The sequence below is a fragment of the Homo sapiens genome, unplaced genomic scaffold (genome assembly GCF_000001405.40).
Source record: "Homo sapiens unplaced genomic scaffold, GRCh38.p14 Primary Assembly HSCHRUN_RANDOM_CTG22".
In the NCBI taxonomy this organism is placed as follows: domain Eukaryota; kingdom Metazoa; phylum Chordata; class Mammalia; order Primates; family Hominidae; genus Homo; species Homo sapiens.
The window spans coordinates 1-20,555 of record NT_187500.1 but is presented as its reverse complement, the minus strand read 5'-3'; the positions used below and the strand labels follow the sequence as shown (position 1 = coordinate 20,555).

Below are 20,555 nucleotides of genomic sequence, written 5' to 3'. Positions count from 1 at the left end.
TTGAGGAAGTTTTGGGCTTCAAGAGTCAGCCACGAGGCAGGCACTAGGCCTGGAAATGGCCTCACAGTCATGAGTTGGGCCTAAATGGGCCACTGTGAGGGAGGAGCTGTGCCTGTTGAGGCTGCTGGCAGGCAGGCAGAAATTTGGCCTGGGGCAGCTGCCATGAGGCAAGAGCTGGGCCTGGAAAAAGCCCCTGGGAGGCAAGAGCAGGGCCTGCAGAGGCTGTTCTCAAGTCAAAGCTGGGCCTGTTGATGCCACCGGGAAGCAGAAGGTGGGCCTGGAGAGTTTGACTTGAGGAAGTTTTGGGCCTACATTGGCCGCCATGAGCTGGACAGGAACTGGGCCAAAAAAGGCTGTTGTGAGGCAGCAGTTGTGCCTGTAGACCCAGCCAAGAGGAAGAGGTGGGCCTGGAGAAGCCCCCATGAGGCAGAGGTTGGGCCTGTAGACGCTGACAGGAGGCAGGAGCTGGGCCTGGACAGGTCAACTTGAGGAGATTTTGGGCCTTCATAGGCCACCAGGAGGCAGCAGTTGGGACTAGAGAGTCTGACTTGAGTAAGTTTTGGGCCCGGAGATGACGTCCTGGGACAGGAGTTGGGCGTGGAGAGGCCACCGTGAGGCATAAGCTGGATGTAGAGAGGCCAGTGTGAGGCAAGACCTGGGCCTGTCTAGGCTGCTGGGAGACAGGCAGGAATCTGGCCAGGGAAGGTTGCCATGAGACAAAAGTTGGGCCTGGAAAGGCCCTTGTGAAGCATGAGCTTGGCCTAAAGAGGCCACTGGGTGGCAGGAGCTGGGTGTGTAGAAGCTGCTGAAAGGTTGGGAGCTTGGCTTGGGGGGTCCACAGTGAGGTAGATGCTGGGCGTGAAGAATCTGCTGTGAGGCAGACGTTGGGACTGTAGAGGCTGACAGGAGGCAGAGGCTGGGCCTGGAGGGGCCACCAAGATGCATGAGCTGGGCCTGGTGAGGTCGACTTGAGAAAGTTCAGGGCCTGGAGAGAAGGCTGGGAGGCAGGAGCTGGGTCTAAAGAGGCCATTGTAACGATGGAGCTGTGCCTGTGGAGGCTGTTGTGAGGCAGTAGCCTCATCTGCGGAGGCTGCCGTGACGTAGGGTATGGGCCTAAATAGGCCATTGTGAGTCATGAGCTTGGTCTGTAGAGGCTGACTGGAGAAAGTTCTGGGCCTGGAGAGGCTGCCGGGAGGTAGGAGCTGGGCCAAAAGATGTAAGCACATTTGCATTTATTAGGCACTTTATTTCCATTATTACACTGTAATATATAATAAAATAATTATAGAACTCACCATAATGTAGAATTAGTGGGCATGTTAAGCTTTTTTCCTGCAACTGGATGGTCCCACCTGAGCGTGATGGGAGAAAGTGACAGATCAATAGGTATTAGATTCTCATAAGGACAGCGCAACCTCGATCCCTCACATGCACGGTTCACAACAGGGTGCGTTCTCCTATGAGCATCTAATGCTGCTGCTCATCTGAGAAGGTGGAGCTCAGGCGGGAATGTGAGCAAAGGGGAGTGGCTGTAAATACAGACGAAGCTTCCCTCACTCCCTCACTCGACACCGCTCACCTCCTGCTGTGTGGCTCCTTGCGGCTCCATGGCTCAGGGGTTGGGGACCCCTGCTCAAGTGCATCCAAAGCGACCCTTCCCACACCAGTCTTCACAGTGGTCAAGGGCAGCAACCACTTAGCTCCCAAGGCATGTGCCTCAGCTGGCATTTCGTCACAATCAACAGTAAGTGGTAGCTTGAGTCACTGTGAGGTCACCTATTGGAAATCACCAGCACCCCATTTCCCACTGGCAAAGAGCTCAGCACTGCCCCCTGGGAAACCAAACCTATGCCCAAATCCCATCTGTGTGGGTTTACCTCCTGGGACCCTTCCTAACATATTAGTCAGAGTCCAATCAGGAAGCATAAACCACTCAAAAGTTTAAAGTGGTAAAATTTAATACAGAGAATTATTCATTATAACAGGTGAACAGCATAATGAGAGATTGGCTAGCACAGAGTAAAGAGAACTCTAGAGAATATGGGACTAGCCCAGGCCAGGCATGGTGGCTCATGCCTGAAATTCCAGCCATTACAGAAGCTAATGCAGGAGGATTGCTTAAGGCCAGGAGCTAGAGACCGCTCTGGACGACACAGTGAGACCCTGTCTCTATCCAAAAGAAGAAAAAAGTTAGCTGGGGGTGGTGGTGCACACTTGTAGTCCCAGCTACTCGGAATGCGGAAGTTTGAGCCTGGGAGGTCAAGGCTGCAGTGAGGCATGATTATGCCACTACAGTCCAGCCTGGTGACAGAGCAAGACCCTGTCTCAAAGAACAAAACCACAACAACCATTTACAGACAGAAAAGAAATAGAGCTAATAAGCTGAGGAAAGATGTTGAAATGTGACAAGTAAAGTAATATGAGGTCTTTTGTCTATTTAAAATAATCAAACAAAAAATGGCTTACGAAATTATAATACCCTGTGCTGGCAAAGGTGCAGTGAAATGGGCACTTTCTTATACTATGAGGGGTGGTTAAATTGTGTATAAGCCTTCCAGGGTAAAGCCTGTCAATTTTTTAAAATAATGGAGACAGGGTCTCACCATACTGCCATACTGCCTCCTCCAACTCTTGGCCTCAAGCAATCCTCCTCTCTTAGCCTCCCAAAGTGCTAAGATTATAGCTGGGAGGCACCCAAAACCCTGTCAATTTACATCAAGGGTAAGGAGAATGTCCATTCACCATGACTCACAGTAATCTTACTTCTGGGGAGACAATTCAATCTAAGCAACAGGTCATCTGTACACACACAGTAAAAATCTGGGAGTAACTGAAGACAGAGTTGGTAAGTGAAATAAGAAACACTTATAAGAAATTAAACTATGGTATCAATAGGCACCTGGTAAAAGGTCAGTTGATGTTAGCTGCCACTTTTTTGTTGTTTTGAGACAGGGTCTCACTCTGTCACCCAGGCTGGAGTGCAGAGGCCTGATCATGACTCACTGCAGTCTCAGCCTCCCTGGGCTCAAGTGATCCTCCCACCTCAGCCTCCCAAGTAGCTGGGACTACAGGAACATGCCACCACACTAGGCTAATTCATGTATTTTTCTGTAGGGATGGTGACTCCCCCTTTGTTTCCAAGGCCTATCGCAAACTCTTGGCCTCAAGCCATCCTCCTGCCTCAGCCTCCCAAAGTGTTGCGATTACCAGTGTGAGCCACCACACCTGGCCAGCTGCTACTTTTATCAATATTATTCTTATTCCACTCAATTAAAAATTATTATTTTCAAGGCTATGCAACAGTATGTATCCTACAGCGTAATTGTAAAAACATACACAGTCGTCATCCCTCAGTATACAGAATTAGTTCCAGCCCCCCATCTCTGCATATACCAAAATCCATGCTTACCTCACGTTTCGCTGTCACCCCTCTAGAATCCACGTATACGAAAATTCCAAATGTTAGTTGGGCATAGTGGCAAGCACCTGTAGTCTCAGCCACGTGGGAGGCTGAGGTGGGAGGATCACTTCAGCCTGGAAGGTTGAGGCTGCAGTCAGCTGCGATAGCACTACTACACTCCAGCCTTGGACAACAGAGGGAGACCCTGTCTCAGAACAAAAAAAATAAATAAATAAAAAATAAAACAGGTTAGAAACTGTGATGAGGTCTGCTGGGCAAAATTCCATATAAGCAATGTATAAATTAATAAAGCAAATCGTGATAAATTAGTACGATTGACTTTCTGGAGTTTCTGACAATAAAAGTAAGGAAAATGCAGAACACAAAGACAGAGAGTAAAAAGAGAAATTAGGAAAGCATTCTACATGTTGAATAGGAAGACACTGGCCATGTTCGTGCAGCGGCAGTATGTCGTGACATGACATACCTTGGAGAGAAGTTAACAGATGAGGAAGTTGATAAAAATCATCAGAGAAGCAAAATACTGGTAGCGACACTCAAGTAAACCATGAAATTTCCATAACTTATGTCAGCAAAGTGGGAATATTGTACAGTGTGTGTTGAAGTTCCTATACAACATTGTTTATCTGCCTTTTGTTTGTTTTTAAGGAATGTATATACTAAAAGTTCTTCTTGCTGTCAAAAGAATATGTGTGAATAAGTCATTTTAACTTATTCTTCTGTTTTTCTTTTATCTTCCTGCCATCATCCCACAGCCTTACTTTAGAAATTTCTTTTTTAGAAAATTGAACAAGTGCTCCCTGTGGTGGCACATACCTCGAGGATGGGAGGCAGGGGTGGAAGGGTCACTTGAGGCCATTAGTTTGACACCAGCCTGGCCAACAAAGTGAGACCCCGTGTCTACAAAACAATTTAAAAATTAGCCAAGTATCGTCATATATACCTACAGTCCCAGCTACCTGAACTTACTGAGAAAGTTCAGAGCCTGGAGAGAAGGCTGGGAGGCAGGAGCTGGGTCTAAAGAGGCCATTGTAACGATGGAGCTGTGCCTGTGGAGGCTGTTGTGAGGCAGTAGCCTCATCTGCGGAGGCTGCCGTGACGTAGGGTATGGGCCTAAATAGGCCATTGAGAGTCATGAGCTTGGTCTGTAGAGGCTGACTGGAGAAAGTTCTGGGCCTGGAGAGGCTGCCGGGAGGTAGGAGCTGGGCCAAAAGATGTAAGCACATTTGCATTTATTAGGCACTTTATTTCCATTATTACACTGTAATATATAATAAAATAATTATAGAACTCACCATAATGTAGAATCAGTGGGCGTGTTAAGCTTGTTTTCCTGCAACTGGATGGTCCCACCTGAGCGTGATGGGAGAAAGTGACAGATCAATAGGTATTAGATTCTCATAAGGACAGCGCAACCTCGATCCCTCACATGCACGGTTCACAACAGGGTGCGTTCTCCTATGAGAATCTAACGCTGCTGCTCATCTGAGAAGGTGGAGCTCAGGCGGGAATGTGAGCAAAGGGGAGTGGCTGTAAATACAGACGAAGCTTCCCTCACTCCCTCACTCGACACCGCTCACCTCCTGCTGTGTGGCTCCTTGCGGCTCCATGGCTCAGGGGTTGGGGACCCCTGCTCAAGTGCATCCAAAGCGACCCTTCCCACACCAGTCTTCACAGTGGTCCAGGGCAGCAACCACTTAGCTCCCAAGGCATGTGCCTCAGCTGGCATTTCGTCACAATCAACAGTAAGTGGTAGCTTGAGTCACTGTGAGGTCACCTACTGGAAATCACCAGCATCCCATTTCCCACTGGCAAAGAGCTCAGCACTGCCCCCTGGGAAACCAAACCTATGCCCAAATCCCATCTGTGTGGGTTTACCTCCTGGGACCCTTCCTAACATATTAGTCAGAGTCCAATCAGGAAGCATAAACCACTCAAAAGTTTAAAGTGGTAAAATTTAATACAGAGAATTATTCATTATAACAGGTGAACAGCATAATGAGAGATTGGCTAGCACAAAGTAAAGAGAACTCTAGAGAATATAGGACTAGCCCAGGCCAGGCATGGTGGCTCAGGCCTGAAATTCCAGCAATTTGAGAAGCTAATGCAGGAGGATTGCTTAAGGCCAGGAGCTAGAGACCGGTCTGGACAACAGAGTGAGACCCTGTCTCTATCCAAAAGAAGAAAAAAGTTAGCTGGTGGTGGTAGTGCACACTTGTAGTCCCAGCTACTCGGAATGCGGAAGTTTGAGCCTGGGAGGTCAAGGCTGCAGTGAGGCATGATTATGCCACTACAGTCCAGCCTGGTGACAGAGCAAGACCCTGTCTCAAAGAACAAAACAACAACAACCATTTACAGACAGAAAAGAAATAGAGCTAATAAGCTGAGGAAAGATGTTGAAATGTGACAAGTAAAGTAATATGAGTTCTTTTGTCTATGTAAAATAATCAAACAAAAAATGACTTACTAAATTATAATACCCTGTGCTGGCAAAGGTGCAGTGAAATGGGCACCTTCTTATACTATGAGGGGTGTTTAAATTGTGTATAAGCCTTCCCGGGTAAAGCCTGTCAATTTTTTAAAATAATGGAGACAGGGTCTCACCATACTGCCATACTGCCTCCTCCAACTCTTGGCCTCAAGCAATCCTCCTCTCTTAGCCTCCCAAAGTGCTAAGATTATAGCTGGGAGGCACCCAAAACCCTGTCAATTTACATCAAGGGTAAGGAGAATGTCCATTCACCATGACTCACAGTAATCTTACTTCTGGGGAGACAATTCAATCTAAACAAAAGGTCATCTGTACACACACAGTAAAAATCTGGGAGTAACTGAAGACAGAGTTGGTAAGTGAAATAAGAAACAGTTATAAGAAATTAAACTATGGTATCAATAGGCACCTGGTAAAAGGTCAGTTGATGTTAGCTGCTACTTTTTTGTTGTTTTGAGACAGGGTCTCACTCTGTCACCCAGGCTGGAGTGCAGAGGCCTGATCATGACTCACTGCAGTCTCAGCCTCCCTGGGCTCAAGTGATCCTCCCACCTCAGCCTCCCAAGTAGCTGGGACTACAGGAACATGCCACCACACTAGGCTAATTCATGTATTTTTCTGTAGGGATGGTGACTCCCCCTTTATTTCCAAGGCCTATCGCAAACTCTTGGCCTCAAGCCATCCTCCTGTCTCAGCCTCCCAAAGTGTTGCGATTACCAGTGTGAGCCACCACACCTGGCCAGCTGCTACTTTTATCAATATTATTCTTATTCCACTCAATTAAAAATTATTATTTTCAAGGCTATGCAACAGTATGTATCCCACAGCGTAATTGTAAAAACATATACAGTCGTCGTCCCTCAGTATACAGAATTAGTTCCAGCCCCCCATCTCTGCATATACCAAAATCCATGCTTACTCACGTTTTGCTGTCACCCCTCTGGAATCCACGTATACGAAAATTCCAAATGTTAGTTGGGCATAGTGGCAAGCACCTGTAGTCTCAGCCACGTGGGAGGTTGAGGTGGGAGGATCGTTTCAGCCTGGAAGGTTGAGGCTGCAGTCAGCTGCGATAGCACTACTACACTCCAGCCTTGGACAACAGAGGGAGACCCTGTCTCAGAAAAAAAAACAAAATAAAACAGGTTAGAAATTGTAATGAGGTCTGCTGGGCAAAATTCCATATAAGCAATGTATAAATTAATAAAGCAAATCGTGATAAATTAGTACGATTGACTTTCTGGAGTTTCTGACAATAAAAGTAAGGAAAATGCAGAACACAAAGACAGAGAGTAAAAAGAGAAATTAGGAAAGCATTCTACATGTTGAATAGGAAGACACTGGCCATGTTCGTGCAGCGGCAGTATGTCGTGACATGACATACCTTGGAGAGAAGTTAACAGATGAGGAAGTTGATAAAAATCATCAGAGAAGCAAAATACTGGTAGCGACACTCAAGTAAACCATGAAATTTCCATAACTTATGTCAGCAAAGTGGGAATATTGTACAGTGTGTGTTGAAGTTCCTATACAACATTGTTTATCTGCCTTTTGTTTGTTTGTAAGGAATGTACATACTAAAAGTTCTTCTTGCTGTCAAAAGAATATGCGTGAATAAGTCATTTTAACTTATTCTTCTGTTTTTCTTTTATCTTCCTGCCATCATCCCACAGCCTTACTTTAGAAATTTTTTTTTTAGAAAATTGAACAAGTGCTCCTTGTGGTGGCACATGCCTCGAGGATGGGAGGCAGGGGTGGAAGGGTCACTTGAGGCCATTAGTTTGACACCAGCCTGGCCAACAAAGTGAGACCCCGTGTCTACAAAACAATTTAAAAATTAGCCAAGTATCATCATGTATACCTACAGTCCCAGCTACCTGAACTTACTGAGAATGTTCAGGGCCTGGAGAGAAGGCTGGGAGGCAGGAGCTGGGTCTAAAGAGGCCATTGTAACGATGGAGCTGTGCCTGTGGAGGCTGTTGTGAGGCAGTAGCCTCATCTGCGGAGGCTGCCGTGACGTAGGGTATGGGCCTAAATAGGCCATTGAGAGTCATGAGCTTGGTCTGTAGAGGCTGACTGGAGAAAGTTCTGGGCCTGGAGAGGCTGCCGGGAGGTAGGAGCTGGGCCAAAAGATGTAAGCACATTTGCATTTATTAGGCACTTTATTTCCATTATTACACTGTAATATATAATAAAATAATTATAGAACTCACCATAATGTAGAATCAGTGGGCGTGTTAAGCTTGTTTTCCTGCAACTGGATGGTCCCACCTGAGCGTGATGGGAGAAAGTAACAGATCAATAGGTATTAGATTCTCATAAGGACAGCGCAACCTCGATCCCTCACATGCACGGTTCACAACAGGGTGCATTCTCCTATGAGAATCTAACGCTGCTGCTCATCTGAGAAGGTGGAGCTCAGGCGGGAATGTGAGCAAAGGGGAGTGGCTGTAAATACAGACGAAGCTTCCCTCACTCCCTCACTCGACACCGCTCACCTCCTGCTGTGTGGCTCCTTGCGGCTCCATGGCTCAGGGGTTGGGGACCCCTGCTCAAGTGCATCCAAAGCGACCCTTCCCACACCAGTCTTCACAGTGGTCCAGGGCAGCAACCACTTAGCTCCCAAGGCATGTGCCTCAGCTGGCATTTCGTCACAAACAACAGTAAGTGGTAGCTTGAGTCACTGTGAGGTCACCTCCTGGAAATCACCAGCATCCCATTTCCCACTGGCAAAGAGCTCAGCACTGCCCCCTGGGAAACCAAACCTATGCCCAAATCCCATCTGTGTGGGTCTACCTCCTGGGACCCTTCCTAACATATAACCTTCATAACATACTTGAGAGGCTGAGGTGAGACAATCGATTTAGCCCAGGAGTTTGAGATCAGCCTGGACGACATAACTAAATCTCATCTCTACAAGGACGAGGTGGGAGGATCACTTGAGCCCAGGAATTTGTGGCCAGCCTGGGCAACAAAAGAAGACCCCATCTGGCCAACATGGCCAACCTGGCCACCACGGTGAAACTCTGACTCTACAAAAATGATCTGGGCATGGGTGACATGCATGTGTAGTCCTAGCTACTTGGGAGGTTGAGATGGGAGGATTGCTTGATCTCAGAAGGCCAAAGCTATAGTGAGCTATGATCACATCACTGCACTCCAGCCTGGATGGCACAGGGAGATTCTGTCTCAAAAAAAAGAAAAGAAATATATATTTAATCTCTGTCCCTGGTTCCTGGCACAGAGCTTCTAAAGCTCTTACAAAGACCTCAGTGATAGATGTGACAGGAGCATCTTTTGTTTTAATATTTGGTCTTGGTCCCAGGTTTCTAACACAAGAGCCTCTAAGAACTTTGGGATCTCCAGCATGGTAAGAATGCATTTGGGGATGTTGTTGAGATGACTGGGTGACTGCAAGCTCCTAAATTTCTTCAAGAGGAGGGCTGATTACCATGAAACCACATGGTAAGAGGCTTGGAACTTTCAGCCTCATGCACTGAACTCCAGGGGGAAGAGGGGCTGGAGACTGACTTAATCACCAACAGCCAAAGGTTTTATCAATCATGCTTGCATAATAAAGCCTCCATAAACACCCTGAAAGGGGTTTGCGGAGCTTTCAGGGTTGCTGGACACAGGAGATGCTGGGAGGGTCGCATGTTCAACAGAGGGCATGGGAGCTCTGTGCCCCTCCGAACTTAACTTTCCCTGGGTATCTTTCTTTTTTTTGAGACAGGATCAGGCTCTTTTGTCCAAGCTGGAGTGCAGTGGCACAATCTCAGCTTACTGTAACCTAAGCCTCCCCAGTCCCCAGCTCAAGGTATCCTCTCATCTCAGCTTCCCTAGTAGTTGGAACTCTAGGTGCACAACACCACACCAGTTATTATTATTATTTTTTAATTTTTTATAGAGACAGGTTTTCACCATGTTGCCCAGGCTGGTCTCAAACTCCTGAGTTTAAGCGATCCTCCCACCTTGGCCTCCCAAAGTGCTGAGATTACAGGCATGAGCCACTGCATCCAGCATGCACGTCTCTTTCATTGACTGTTTCTGAGATGTATCCTTCACAATGAACCAGTAATAGGAAATGAACTGGCCAGATGTGGTGGCTCACATCTGTAATCCCAGCACTTTCAGAGGCTGAGGTGGGAGGATCACTTGAGACCAGGAATTTGTGGCCAGCCTGGCCAACACAACAAGACCCCATCTATACAAAAAATAAAAGAAACTAGCCAGATGTGGTGGTGCAGGCATGTAGTCTCAGCTACTAGGGAGGCTGAGGTGGGAGAACCACTGGAACCCAGACAATCAAGGCTGCAATGAGCTATGACTGCACCATTGCACACCAGCCTGGGCAACAAAATAAGACCCTCTCTCTCAGAAAAAAAGAAAATAAACTGTTTTTCTGAGTTCCGTAAACTGTTCTAGCAAATTATTAAACCCAAGAAGACAGTTACGGGAACCCCCGATTGGTAACAGGTTGGTCAAAAGTATGGTGACAACTTAGGACTTGCCATTGTCATCTGAAGTGAGGATGGCCTCGTGGGACTGAGCCCCTAACTTGTGGGGTCTGTGCTAACTCCAGGTAGTGTCAGAATAAAGTCATGGGATACCCAGTTAATATCCAGAGCACTGAAGAATCTGGTGTAGAAACTCCATACATACATTCAGTCGGAAGTGTGTGAGTAGAGACAAACATGGGCTTTTCTGTCACCTACCTGCTTAACTGCATAGGAGAGGCAATATGTGGTGCTCATGAACAAAGCAAACATTAAAGTCAGACCAGACCCAACATTTGACTCAGTCTTAATATCCAGGTGAGCCTGCGCAAATCATTCATTATTCCTAAGGTTTTCATCACTCCATTCATAAAATGGGGATAACTGTGGCACCTACATGTGATTCTGTGAGAATTAACAAAATATTATGCTTGGGGTTATTGTGATCATTATACCTGTTCCAAACTATTTGACAAGGACAGTGATGGATGAAGACATCAAAAAATCAGAAACTGCAATGAGGTCTCTCAGGCAAAATTCCATACAAGCAAATTACTGTGTCTACAAAGCATTCCTGCCACACTTAATTCACCATTCCCTGAACAAAATATGCCATCTTCATTGTTCAGGTCTGTACAGTGCTGGTGTCCCTTCCCGGGCAGTTTGCGCTATCCCATCCCGGCCCATTCCCCATCCCTCCACCTCCCCCTTCCCTCCCCACTCTCATACAACTCTTCCTCATCTTTCAGGACTTGGCTTCAATGTCACCTTAACTGGAAGCTTCTCTCACTCTCCAGAAGAGCTTCCCATTGCACCTGATGCATGGGAAACATAATTTGATCATTTTTAAGTTACAGTCCAAATCTTTTTGTACCTGAATAACATGTTGCCCAGTCAGTCTCTCTTCCTGGATTCACAAGTCTTTCATGGTAGATCCAGCTGGAAGTGACAAAAAGACATCTTTTGACATAAAGGGATGACACAGACAGACATAAGTTCTTAAATGTCTTAAATGTTATGTGAAAATTAAACAGAATTCAAAGACTTGTGGGGAGCACTTAGGAAGTTACTGGGAATGTCATAAAGGGTTAATTTGTATTTTATTTTATTTTTTGAGACAGTCTCATTCTGTCACCTAGGCTGGAGTGCAGTGGTGCAATCAGGCTCACTGCAGCCTTGACCACCTGGGCTCAAGTAATCTCACTTAATTTTTATTTGGTTTAAGAAACTCTTGGTTGAGGGTGGTGGCTTATGCCTGTAATCTCAGCACTTTGGGAGGCTGAGAGAGGTATATTACTTGAGGCCAGGAGTTTGAGATCAGACTGGGCAATATATTAAGACCCTGCCTCTACCAAAAAACAGAGTGAATGTGTGGAAGACAATTTTTCCACAGACTGGGAATGAGGGAATAATTTCAGGATGATTCAAGTGCATTACATATATTGTGCACTTTATTTCTATTATTACTACATAGTAATATATAATGAAATGATTCTACAACTCACTATAATGTAGACTCAGTGGGATCTCTGAGCTTGTTTTCCTGCAACTAGACTGTCCACCTGGGGTGATGGGAGACAGTAACAGAATATCAGGCATTAGATTCTCATAAGGAGTACACAACCTAGATCCCTCGCATGCACACTTCACAACAGAGTTTGTGCTCCTATGACAATCTAATGCTGCTGCTGATCTGACAGGACATGGAGCTCAGGTGGTCATGCAAGCGATGGGAGGGGCTAGAAATACAGATGAAGTTTCCCTTCACTCGCCTGCTGCTCACCTCCAGCTCTGTGGCCCTGTGGTTGGAGACCGCTGCTCAAGTGCATTTGAAAGGAACCATCCCACGCCATTCTTCAGAGTCATCTTTACTGCTGCAGTGGTCAACTTGTAGCACCCCTAAGCTTGCAGGACATATGCTTCAACTGGCATTTCACAATCAACAGTATGTGGCAGCTTGAGTCATTGTGAGCGCACTTCCTGGAAATCACCAGCATCCCATATCCCATTGCAAGGAGCTCAGCACTGCTCCTTGGATAACCAAACCTATTCCCAAATCCCATCTGTGTGCGTCTATCTCCTGGTACCCTTCCTAGCATCAATTCTGTATTTGTAGGAGTCCAATCAGGAGACACAAACCACTCAAAAGTTTAAACTAGAATGAGCAAGATGGCTCACACCTGTAATCCCAGAACTCTGGGAGGCCAAGGTGGGTGGACTGCTTTGAGCTCAGGAGTTTGAGAACAGTCTGGGAAACATGGCGAAACCTCGTCTCTACAAAAAACACAAAAATCAGCTGGGTGTGGTGGCACTTACCTGTAATCCCAGCTACTCGGGAGGCTGAGGCAGGAGAATTGCTTGAGCCTGGCAGGTGGAGGCTGCAGTGAGCAGAGGTTGTGCCACTGTACTCCAGCCTGGGTGACAGTGTGAGACCCAGTATCAAAAAGAAAAAACATATATATATATGTAAATTTAATATAAAAAGTATTAATTTTGGCCAGGCAAAATGGCTCATGCCTGTAATCCCAGCACTTTGGGAGGCCAAGGCAGACAGATCACCTGAGGTCAGGAGTTCGAGACCAGCCTGACCAGCACAGAGAAACCCCATATCTACTAAAAATACAAAATTAGCTGGGCATGGTGGCACATGCCTGTAATCCCAACTACTCGGGAGGCTGAGGCAGGAGAATTGCTTGAACCCAGAAGGTGGAGGTTGCGCTGAGCCGAGATAGCACCATTGCACTCCAGCCTGGGCAACAAGAGTGAAACTCCATCTCAAAAAAAAAAAAAAAGGTATTAATTTTTACAGAGGATCAGCACAATGAGGGACACACTAGCACAAAGTAAAGACAACTCTAGAGAATACGGAACTAGCAGAGGCCAGGCATTGTGGCTCATGCCTGTAATCCCAGCAATTTGGGAAGCCTAGGCAGGAGGATCGCTTGAGGCCAGGAGTTGGAGACCAATCAGTGCTAAATAGTGAGACTCTGTGTCTACCAAAAAAAAGAGACATTAGCCAGGTGTGGTGGTGGTGCACACCCGTAGTTCCAGCTACTTGGGAGTCTGGGGTGGGAGAAATCCCTTGAGCCTGGGAAGTCTACACTACAGTGAGCCAAGATTGTGCCACTGCACTCCAGCCTGGGTGACAGAGTGAGACCCTGTCTTAGAAAGAAAAAAGAAAAGAAAGTGTTAATCCCCCTATGGGAATCTCCTCTTCTCCTGCCCTCTCTGGAACCTCACTTGTCAGTTCTTCCTCCCACTTTCCTGTATCTTTAACCTATCCCCCACTTTTAGCTCCTTCCCATCATCATTTAAATTACTCAAACTTCTTCTGTTTTAAAAACCTCTCCCTAAACTCAGGGAGAGGTCTTCTGCACACACATTGAGCCATCTGCTCTTCCTGGTGCCTTCTCTACAGCAGCCTGAGCCATGTCTCTAATCTATGAATCTCATCATGTTACTCCCCCATTTACATCACTTCTCCTTGCCTCAGGGATTAAGTCCAAACTCCTTAACAGCCCCTGCTCTGCCCTGCCTTGCAAGGCAGCCTCACTGCTTGCCCCTCTCCATTACATCTGCTATGGAGTCCAACTGAGCCTCATCTGCCCCTTGAACGCACACTCTTTCTCCTCTGGGAGTCTCTGAAGTGGGTAATATCCTCTGCTTATAATATGCTTCCCCTTAAACCTCTACTCTCTTCCTAGCTAGCTTTGACTCCTCTGTCACTTGTCCGCTTTGGCATCACCTCCTCATAGAAGACTTCTATGACTCCCGAGATTCTCAGGAGCATGGCAGGTGAAGTGCTCCTCCCATGAATGGATGGAGATTAAGGAGTGTGTGTTATTCATGCTTAATTCACCAGTGCTTAGCTGAGTACCTGGCATAAAATAGTTACTGTGGTGGCCAAAGTAATAACCCCCACCGCCACCAATTGCTCATGTCCTATGTTACACAGCACAATTACATAGGAAGGGGGAATTAAGAGTGCAGATAAAATTAATGTTGCTCATCAGCTGACCTTAAAACAAGATTATCCTGGAGTATCTAGGAGAGCCCATGTAATTACAAGCATTCTTTAAAACTGGAAGAGGGAGGCAGAAGGTTAAGAACCAGAGACGGTGGGCACAATGGCTCATGCCTGTAATACCAATACTTTGGGAGGCCAGGGTAGGAAAATCCCTTGAGTGCAGGAGTTCAAGGTCAGCCATGGCAACATACTGAGGTCCCATCTCTACAACAAAATAAAAACAAAATTCACTGAGTGTCACGATGCTTACCTGTAGTTCCAGCTACTGGGAAGGCTGACATGGTAGGATTGCTTGAGCCTGGGAGTTTGAGGCTATAATGAGCCATGATAGGACCACTGAACTCCATCCTGAGTGACAGGGCAAGGTCCTGTTTCTGAAGAAAAAAAGGACATTGGAATCAGGGCCCTCTCCATGCTGAGGTGCCTACAAGGCATCTCTCTCTGCAAATGAGTAAACATCACCCTCCAACTCCTTACAGAGTGGAGCAACAGGAAAACTCCTTCACCTCATTTCTGTGCTGCTTGGGAGGCCTGGACAGCCCAATAACCAGCTCCTCGCTGATGAAGCAATCAGGAAATGGCTCGAGTTGAGCTAAGGAGAATTTGGATCCTTCCTTTGGTTCTCAGTAGGCAGGGTAGGGGCCAGGCATGGTGGCTCATACCTGTAATCCTTGCACTGTGGGGGGCCAAGGTGAGAGGATTGCTTGAGGCCAGGAGCTCAAGACCAGCCTGGACAACATAGCAAGACCTGGGTGGCATACACCTGTGGTCCCTACTACTTGGTAGGATGAGGTGGGAGGATTGATCACTTGATCCCAGGAGTTTCAGGCTGCAGTGAGCCATGATCACACCACTGCACTTCAGCCTGGGTGACAGAGCCAGACCATGTCACAAAAAGTTAGAAAAAAAAAAAAGAGAGGGAGAGAGACTATACACAGGCACCACCACATTTGGCTAATTTTTAAATATTCTGTAGAGACAAGGTCTTGCTAGGTTGCCCAGGCTAGTCTAAAACTCCTGGCATCAGGCTGGGCATGGTGGCTCATGCTTGTAATCGCAGCACTTTGGGAAGCTAAGGCAGGCAAATCACCTGAAGTCTGGAGTTCGAGACCAGCCTGGCCAACACGGTGAAACTCTGACTCTATCAAAAATACAAAAATTAGCTGGGCAGTAGTGGCGTGTACCTGTAGTCTCACCTACTCGGGAGGCTGAGGCAGGAGAATCACTTGAACCTGGGAGGTGGAGGTTGCAGTGGACCCCATCACTGCACTCCACCCTGGGTGACAGAGCGAGACTGTCAAAAACAACAACAACAATAACAAAAACAAAAACAACAACAACAAAAAAAACTCCTGGCATCAAGACATCTTCCTGTCTTAGCCTCCCAAAGCCCTGGGATTATACTGTTTCCTATAATTGAAGACACTTGTTCTTATACTGCTTTAAGGTATAAAGGAAGAAAAAAAAAACAGATAATGGCAAATGTTGGTGAAGGCCGGGCATGGTGGCAGCCTGTAATTCCAGAACTTAGGGAGGCTGAGGTGGGCAGATCACTTGAGGCCAGGAGTATGAGACCAGCCTGGGCAACATGGTAAAATCCCACCACTACAGAAAAATCTAAAAATTAGCCAGGCATGGTGGCGTACACCTGTAATTTTCAGCTACCCAGGAGGCTGAGATGAGAGAATCACTTGTGCCTGGGAGGTCACGGCTGCAGTGAACTGTGATGGCATCATTGCACTGCGGCCTGAGAGACAGAGCAAGCCCCTATCTAGAAAAAAAAAATGTCAGTGAAGATGTGGAGGAATTGGAACCCACATACATTACTGGTGGGAACATAAAATTGTGTAACCATTTTGTTTGGGTATTTCTTTTCTTGTCATTTTAATTGGATTTTTAAAAAATCAAGACGGGGTTTCACTATCTTGCCCAGGCTGGTCTTGAATTCACAGGCTCAAGCCATCCTCCTAGCTGAGCCTCCTGAGTAGCTGGGATTACAGGTGTGAGCCATTGCACCCAACTGGTATAGCCACGTTAGAAAACAGTCTGGCAGTTTCTCAAAAGGCTAAATGTACAGTCATCCTATAATGCAACAATTTCACTCCTAGGCATATATCCCAGAAAAATAAAAATATATGTCCACACAAAAACTTGTACAACAATCTTCATAGCAGCATTATTCATAACGACCAATACATGGAATACATGGAAACAACCCAAATATCCACCAACTGATGAACAGATAAACAAAATGCAGTGTGTCTCTACCATGGAATACTGCCATAGAAGGAATGAAATATTGATACACACTATGACATAAAGGAACTTTGAAAACACTGTGCTAAGAGGGAAAAAAAGCCACAAAAGATCACATATTGTACAATTCTATTTGTCCAGATTAGGCAAATCTATAGTGACAAAAAATTAATCAATGGTTGCCTAAGGCTGGGGGCAAAGGTAGGTGGGGAGAGTAGGAGGTAGTAGCTAAGGGGTATGGATTTCTCTATAGGGTAATGAAAGGTTCTAAAAGTGACTGTGGTGATCGATGCACAGCTCTGTGAATATTCTAAAACCTACTGAATTGCAGATTTCAATAAATAAAGTGAATGGCATTTGAATATTTTAATAAAGCTATTATTTAAAATAATAATAATAGGGGGCTGGGCACAGGTGGTCATGCCTGCCTGTAATCCCAGCACTTTGGGAGGCTGAGGCAGGAGGATCACTTGAGGTCAGGAGTTTTGAGCCCAGTCGGAGCAACATGGCAAGATCCCGTCTCTATGATAAAAAATTAGCTGGACATGGTGGCACATGTCTGTAGTCCCAGCTACTTGGGAGACTGAAGTGAGAGAACCACTTGAGCCCAGGAGTTTGAGGCTACAGTGAACCATGATCATGTCACTGTACTGTAGCCTAAGCAACAGAGCAAGACGCTGTCTCTGAAAAGGAAAGAAAACAAATGCAAGTTTTTATCACTTTGTGAGTGTAGCCAAGTTGGAGGAGAAATAGACAATAATAAAAGAGCACTGAATAATGACGGTGAGTGGCTGGTTAGGCTCAGTTGCTAGCTAAATGGCTTCTAAAAAATTCAATAAAGTTACAGCTCTGGGGACAGTCATGTAGTCAAAGAATGAAGGCGAAATTCATTACAATTGCCCATGGTCTTTATTTACATGCCTTCTAGTGAAAAATTCCTAAGTGCCTAAACAGCAAGTCTGCAATGATAGCAGCTGTTTATTAAAGACTACAAAAAAGAAATGGAGGCCGGGCGTGGTTGTTCACATCTGTACTCCTTGAATTTTGGGAGGCTGAGGCAGGCAGATTGCCTGAGGTCAGGAGCTCCAGAGGAGCCTGGCCAATATGGTGAAATCCCATCTCTACTAAAAATACAAAAATTAGCTGGGTATGGTGGCGGGCACCTGTAATCCCAGCTACTCGGGAGGCTGAGGCAGGAGAATTGCTTGGACCCAGAAGGTGAAGGTTGCAGTGAGCCAAAATCGCACCATTGCACTCCAGCCTGGGTGACAAGAGAAAGACTCTTATCTTAAAAAAAAAAAGAAAAAAAAGAAATGGCATCTTCTTCAAGAATTACATCGTGTTTCATGATAAAGAAGCTCTAATTTTGCATTTGTTCAAGTATTGATGAGATTTACCCAATATGACACCCATCTTGGATAAAATGCAAACAACACAATTTCATTTTGTCATTAACAAAACCGATTAAGTAGTCTAATATAAATTGCGATCTTATTAAAAACTGATCAGATTAAAAAAATTATGGAATTATGGAGCCAATAAGATGTTACAACCTGTTCCAAGGGGAATTCCAAAATCCACACATATCTGAGACCATCAAGTATGATGAAATATATTTGATTACTATATTGAAAAATAAACTGATTACATAGCCAACAATTGGACAGGGGTCTCCTCATCCACAGCCACACAAACCCGATCATGCAGCTATGTGGTTACAAGGCCTACATAGCCTAGAAGGGACTGGTCTGACTTGAGATTTCATTTGTATTTGTATTTTGAGACAGGGTCCCACTCTGTCACCCAGGATGGAGTGCAGTGGTATAATCATAGCTCACTGCAACCTTGACCAACTGGGCTCAAGAGATGCTCCAGCCTCAGCTGCCCCCATACCTGGGAATACAGGCAAGTACCACCATGTCAGGCATTTTTTTCATTTTTGTAGAGAGAGAAGACTTGCTATGTTGCCCAAGCTGGCCTCAAACTCCTAGAATCAAGAGATCTGCCCATCTCAGCCACATGAGTAACTGGGGCCATAGGTACATACCATCATGCCTGGCTATATTTATTTTATTTTATTAAATTTATTTTTTTTATTTTTGTAGAGAGGAGGTCTTGCTGTGTTGCCCAGGCTGCTCTCAAACTCATGGCCTTAAAACATACTCCCATCTCTGCCTCTCAAACTGTTGGAACTATAGGTGTGAGCCACTGTACCTGGCCTGACTTGGGATTTCTTTTATCTAGCATCCTTTACTTGGTAGGATTGGGAAAAGCAGTAGTGTTTTTTAAAATTACTTAATAATTCAATCAGAATCAAACTCAACCTTGACCACTGCCTTCTCTCACAGCTCACATCCAGTCTGTCAGGAAATCCTACTGACTGACTTCAATATGTATCCAGGCTCTAACCATCTCTCACCACCACCATGAACCCCGTCAGGATCACTATCATCTCCCACCGGGATGTTGCCACAGCTTGGCCCCCATGCTTCTACCCAAATCTTCCCATAGTCTTTCTCAACTCGGCAGCCAGGTCGTGCTTTTAAATCAGGAGACGGATCATGTCGCCTCTCTGCTCAGAAGCCCTTGGTGGTTCCCATTTTAGTCAGAGTAAAAGCCAAAGCCCCAGCAATAGCGTCCCAGGGCTTACACGATCTGTACCGACCCCAGCCCAGCAACTCCCTGGCCTCCTCGCTGACTTCGCTCCCTCTATCTCTTTGCTCCACTGGCCTCCTTCCAGAGCCTCAGACACACCAGAGAGTTTCCTCCTAATGCCTTTATCCTGTTGACTCAGCCTACAATGCTCTTCCCTCAGCACCTTGGCCAGCTCCATCACCTGCTTCAAACTTTTGCTCAATATTCACTTATGAGGCCAACCCTGACCACTCTACTTAACACTGCCATCCGTCCCCATTCCCACCATGCTCATTTCTTTCTTTTTGAAACAAGGTCTTGCTTTATTGCCCAGGCTGGAGTACACTGGTGCAATCACAGCTCACAGCAACTTCAACCTCCCAGGCTTAAACAATCCTCCCGCCTCAGCCACCCTAGGAACTGAGACTACAGCTGCATGCCACAACACATGGCTTTTTTTTTTTTGAGACGGAGTCTCGGTCGCCCAGGCTGAAGTGTAAGGGTGCGATCTTGGCTCACTGCAATGTCTGCCTTTTGGGTTCAAGTGATTCTCTGCCTCCCAAGTAGCTGGGATTACAGGCACCCACCACCACACCTGGCTAATGTTTGTATTTTTAGTAGAGATGGGGTTTCACCATCTTGGCTAGGCTGGTCTTGAACTTCTGACCTCGTGATCCACCCTCCTCGGCCTCCCAAAGTGCTGGGATTACAGGCGTGAGCCACTGCGCCTGGCCTTTAAAAACATTTTTTTTTAGACATGAGGTCTCATTATGTTGCCCAGGCTGGTCTTAAGCTCCTGGGCTTAAGCGATCCTCCCACCTCAGCCTCCTAAAGTTCTGGGATTACAGGCGTGAGCAACTGTAACATGAGGTCCCAGCTTCATGTTCATTTTTTGTTGTTGCTACAACAAAGTACCCTACATTTAGTGGCATCAAACACCACAAATCTACCATCTTACAGTTCTGGGGGCCAGAAGCCCAACTAGGTCTATCAAGGCTAAAGTCAAGGTGTCAGAGAGGCTGCATTCCTTCTGGGGGAGGCTCTAGACAGAATGTGCTCCTTTGCCTTTTCCAGCTTCTAGAAGCCACCTCCATTCCTTGACTTACCTCGTGACTCCATATTCAAGGCCAGAAGTGCAGCATCTTCAAATCTCCCTCTCTGACCTCTTCTTCCATTACCACATCACTTTCTCTAATTCTGACTCTCCTACCTCATTCTCTTATAAAGATC

General features: G+C 46.1%; 1 long non-coding RNA gene across 1 annotated transcript; it reads right to left on the bottom strand.

Annotated features, from left to right (window-relative positions):
- Window positions 1–9: 9 nt before the first annotated feature.
- Window positions 10–14,772, bottom strand: LOC101929819 (putative uncharacterized protein FLJ44672). The gene is made up of 12 exons (XR_007068555.1): window positions 14,686–14,772; window positions 12,192–12,388; window positions 11,283–11,347; window positions 8,411–8,610; window positions 8,126–8,183; window positions 7,800–8,032; window positions 6,836–7,026; window positions 4,717–4,774; window positions 4,391–4,623; window positions 3,415–3,605; window positions 1,580–1,776; window positions 10–1,202 (listed from the first exon to the last, which is right to left on the bottom strand). It is a non-coding gene; the product is annotated as a putative uncharacterized protein FLJ44672 (long non-coding RNA).
- Window positions 14,773–20,555: the final 5,783 nt, after the last annotated feature.